Below are 4,841 nucleotides of genomic sequence, written 5' to 3' on the forward strand. Positions count from 1 at the left end.
GAACATCAAAATGGTTATTACTAGGGTAAGAGGAAAGGAACATGTACAAACTTTATTTCTTGTCTTCCCACCTTATACTTTGTTCTTACATGCAAGGCAATGCTGGAAGTGTAGCTCACTTAGACCTAGCGTTGTCTCTGCTTTGTTGTTGCCCAGAATTGAGGCCCCTATCTGTTATATGGTTCAAGAACATTAGCATCAAGGCTGTTAGAAGAAAAACAACTCCATGCATAAATACTACTTGTATGAGTTCGTTTTCACACTGCTATAAAAAAACTACCTGAGACTGGGTAATTCATAAATAGGTTTAATTGACTCACAGTTCTGCATGGCTTGGGAGGCTTCAGGAAACTTACAATCATGGCAGGAGACAAAGGGGAAGCAAGGCACGTATTACATGGTGGCAAGAGAGACAGTGGTGAGGGGTGGAGGAAGTGCCACACTTTTAATCCATCAGATGTTGTTAGAACTATCATGAGAACAGCAAGGGGATTTTCACCCCCATGATTCAATCATCTCCCACCAGACCCTTCCCCTGGCACATGGGGATTACAATTCAAGATGAGATTTGGGTGGGGACTCAGAGCCAAACCATATCACTACTCCTTTAGCCATGCCACCTTGGGGCAGAGAAGTTAACTGCTAACTTTGAAATCTATACAAAATTGACTCCAATATAAATATGATCTTGAGGAATCATAGGCTCTTACATTTGCAGAGAATCTCAGAGATCGTTTTACCCAACTCTTTCATTTTATAGATGGGGAAGCTTAGATCCAGAGAGATTGTTTCTTACCCAAATTAATATGACAAAGTCATTGTAAAGACCTATAACCTAGCCTTATAATCCCCTGGTCCAGTGTTTTTAGAATTGTACCATGTTACCAGTCTTTTGGATTCATTCATTCACTCAGAGAGTTAATATTTTCTGAGTGCCTAGTCTGTTTAGGTACTGCCTTATGTGCCAAAATACAACAGTAAACAAAATTTCTACCCTCATGGAACTTACATTCTACTACAGGGAGAAAGAGTATAAACATAATAAATAAATAGTGTAATTTTAAAGAAGCATGGGAAAAATGAGTTAAAGGGGATAGGTAGTGCTAGGAGTGGTTGTAATTTTAAGTAGGGTGGTCGAGTTGGGGTAACCCCATTTAGAAAGTGACCTTTGAGGAAAGACTTGAAGGAAGGGAGGAGGTGACACATATGGGTATGGGAGGAACGGCATTCCAGAGGGAACAGCAAGTGCAAAGACCTTACGAGGAAATCCTGCCTTGCATGCTTGAGGAACAGCAAAGAGGCTAGTATGGCTGGAGTAGTGGAGTAGAATAAGAAGAGAGACCTGAGTGAGCACACTCAGCCCCCTCGCCATGTGATGGCCTGTGCTACCTCAGTACTCTGCAGAGTCCCCACATGCAAGAAGGTCTCACCAAATGTCCCCCATGACCTTGGAATTCCAATACTCCAGAACTGTAGGAAATAAAATTACCCAGTTTCAGGTATTCTGTTATAAGCTTAGTCCAGAAAACAGACTAAGGCAGAGAAAGAAGAGCTGTGAGGGTGAGGATCAAGAAGCCAGATTCTCTAGGACCTATACTATAAACACATGGTTTTAATCTGAGATGAGGATGGGGCAGTTATGAGCAAAGGAGTGATATGGACTGGTTTACATTGTAACAGAACCACTCTGGCTTCTGTGTTGACTCACAGTAGACTGCAGGCCAGGGAAGTGAGTTAGGCTGGAAAGTATTACTGAGATTCACTACCCTTGAAGATATTTCTGTTCAGAGTACACAAAATTAAAATTTTATATGGCTCTTTGTGCTTGTGACTGGTAAAGTCTTTGAGATACCTGAGTAAATGAAACATTAGCCACATGAACTGTTCGATAATTAAAATTAAGCATGAAATAGGGAATTCTCAACACTGAGCTTCTGAGAGTAGTGTGATTGCCTAGAAAACTCACAGGCACAGAAAAGTAAAAATAAACATCAAAATAATTTTTAAAGGCTGATAGCATTAGTAAACAGCAACTGCTAATATGCACTACCTGCAGAAGAAACTAAGAAGAATACAAATAAGATGAATCTCTTAGGGACAATTTCATTAGCAATAAAGATGAACAGAGAATAGCAATGCTTTACAAGATGGTATATGAATTTAATTACCAGTAAATAATATTTATATGGAGTTTACACAACATGCTTACACATTATTTCATGTCATCTGAATTATAAGCTTATGTATCTTGCAAATGACTAAGCCTGGGCTTCTCACTTCTGGTTCCAGATCCTATGATGGCTGTAATAGTCAGTTCTCACCCTGCTATGAAGGAATAACTGAGACTGGATAATTTATAAAGGAAAGAGTTTTAATTGACTCATAGTTCTGCATGAATGAGAAGGCCTCAGGAAACGTACAATCATGGCAGAAGAGGAAGCAAACACATCCTTTTTTTCACATGGCTGCAGGAAGAAGAATGAGTGCCCAGCGAAGAAGGAAGACCCTTATAAAACCATCAGATCTCATAAGAACTAACTATCACAAGGACAGGATGGGAAAAATCGGCCCTGTGATTCAATTATCTCCACCTGGTCCCTCCCAGGACACGTGGGGATTATGGGAACTACAATTCAAGATGACATTTGGGTGGGGACACAGCCAAACCATATCAGTGACTCACACCATTTGCCTACCTGCAGAGCTTAAAACACTTGGTCTGTAACATCTCTACCTACCGATTAAAAATGAAACACTAAAAGAAAGTCAATTTGCCTCATGAGAATTTTCCACAATTTCAGTTAAGGGACTTGCTGTGCTGTGTTAAGCATGTGTTATGGTCAAAATGAAATTAGAGATCCACTAAAAAATGCTTAATAATGCTTATGTAGGTGTGACAAAGATTTGCGGAAGTGTTTTCTTGATTACAAGAGCCATCTCCAGTATCAAAGTAACACTCTTGAGCATTCTGAAGCATGTAGGGTTTATTTACAGTGATACATAAGGTTTGAAAAGGATGCTTTACCAAAAATTTTGTTAATGAAATAGGAATGAAAATAAAGAGGTACATTTACTGGATTGCAACTGGCAACCAAAAGTAACCTTTTTCTAACGTAAACCTTGTATGTTTGTTGCTTTGCTGCATCTCATTTCTTTTGGTAGGTTGTTTTTATTATTCTGTTAGGAGAAAAAAACTTAATTTTGCTTGATTTTCTTTCATCTAGGAGTCATTTAAAGATGTAATGCCACCTTCCTTGCCAAATTTGATTCTGTCTTCCTCACTTATTTTGGTCAACAGAACTTCGTCTTTCCAGTTCTTCCAGCCAAAAATCATCCTTGACTCCCCACTTAGGACTTAATGCACTAGCTGTTTCCTCTGGCAGCTCTTTCCTCATAATAAATCAGTATAATTCCTCTGAACTGAGGCGATCCAAAAAAAATGAGCAACTTATACTTGCAAAGTTACTTTATGTATTTTATTTGATTGTCATCATAGTTAGGAGACTCCACTTTTTCATTAAAGTTTAAAAGAACGCCTGAAATCAACCCTTAATACCGTAAACACGGAATCAGTATCAAAGTGTTCCTCTGCTATAGGTAAGCAGCACTCCTCAATAAAAGATCAAGGTGCCTTCTGGTGCTTCAGGGGCTTCATCATTAGGAATCTTTCATTTAAAAAGTGTTCCTCCCACTATACCAGTGAAACCAGCTTTAATACAGAGAAATCAAAACAAAGAAAAATACAGAAAAGTGGGCAACAGCTTTTGAGTATTTTCTTAAAATTTTCCATTTTTCGACTTAGCGCAATAATATAATAAAGGAACATGGGATCCTTTATTATTGTTACCATAGTTTTTAATATCATTTTCATAAAGCTAACCATGTTTATTTAGCCATTTTCTTAGCTTTTGCCATCATGGTTCTTTGAAAATTTTCTTTGTAATTGCTGCAATGATTTTGGAGATCACAGATGCATGCTACTTGCTCAAGTTTATTCTTGGAAGTCGTATTACCAAATTAAAGGTTCTCAACATTTCTCGGGGTACTGCAATTTTTACATTGCATATGATAATTGTTATTACTGAGATCTACATTCCTTTCATCAATTCACAAATACACAATCACAGACATCTTGAGATCTATCATACGTCCAGCTGCGTTCATTTCACAAAATCAGAAGTTAAGCCTAAAGATCTGAACCGAGAAGCCGGACCTCCGGTCTATTTCTCCCTCCTGGATCCACCCCGACTTATTAAGCAGTTAGACCGACCCTTCCATACTCATTCAAGGCAGTGCAGAGCTTTTGCTCCCCTGCCCAGTGGAATCTACACTGGTCCCAGCCTCTCGTCCAACTCCCGTAGGACGCCAAGCAATACGGAGTTCGAGAAGCTCAGAAATCTCCTGAGCCCCACCAGTCCACACTAGGTTGCAAGCCCGCAGCACCTACGCCACGGCGTCAAACCGGAAACCAGAAAAGGTGAAGGCATCGGACGCCCCTCGCCCCAGCCCGGCCACCAGCGACACTATCCTTCACTGACGCGCGATGCCGGCCTTTCAGCCCAGACTCATCGAGCGAGGATGCAGCGCTGAGAGGCTTCTAAGGCTCAGGCCCTGCAAAGCCCAGGAGCCGGCTGTAGGTGTCCTTGGCGAATGCCAGACCGCGCGCACCGTCCCAGCAAGTCCCGAGCGAGTGTGGGACAGGCAGCAAATCAGTGCCCCCTGGCCAGGCAGAACGAGTCGAACGTGGAAGTAGGGAGCAGGCGGAGGCCGGCGCGGAGCTGCAGTTAAGCAAGCCGGGTCTGGCTTTGGGCCCTGGGCCTTCCAGCCGGGGACTCTGCGCC

The 4,841-nt window shown here is 41.4% G+C and overlaps 2 annotated features.

Annotated features, from left to right (window-relative positions):
• Nucleotides 4,262–4,441: an enhancer, noted in NCBI's record as "active region_24994". NCBI's record gives its function as "activates an Ori minimal core promoter by ATAC-STARR-seq in GM12878 lymphoblastoid cells {active_cell/tissue: GM12878}" and the evidence as "EXISTENCE:reporter gene assay evidence [ECO:0000049][PMID:35858748]".
• Nucleotides 4,472–4,801: an enhancer, noted in NCBI's record as "active region_24995". NCBI's record gives its function as "activates an Ori minimal core promoter by ATAC-STARR-seq in GM12878 lymphoblastoid cells {active_cell/tissue: GM12878}" and the evidence as "EXISTENCE:reporter gene assay evidence [ECO:0000049][PMID:35858748]".

Source organism: Homo sapiens, chromosome 6 (assembly GCF_000001405.40).
Source record: "Homo sapiens chromosome 6, GRCh38.p14 Primary Assembly".
NCBI classification, from domain to species: Eukaryota; Metazoa; Chordata; class Mammalia; order Primates; family Hominidae; genus Homo; species Homo sapiens.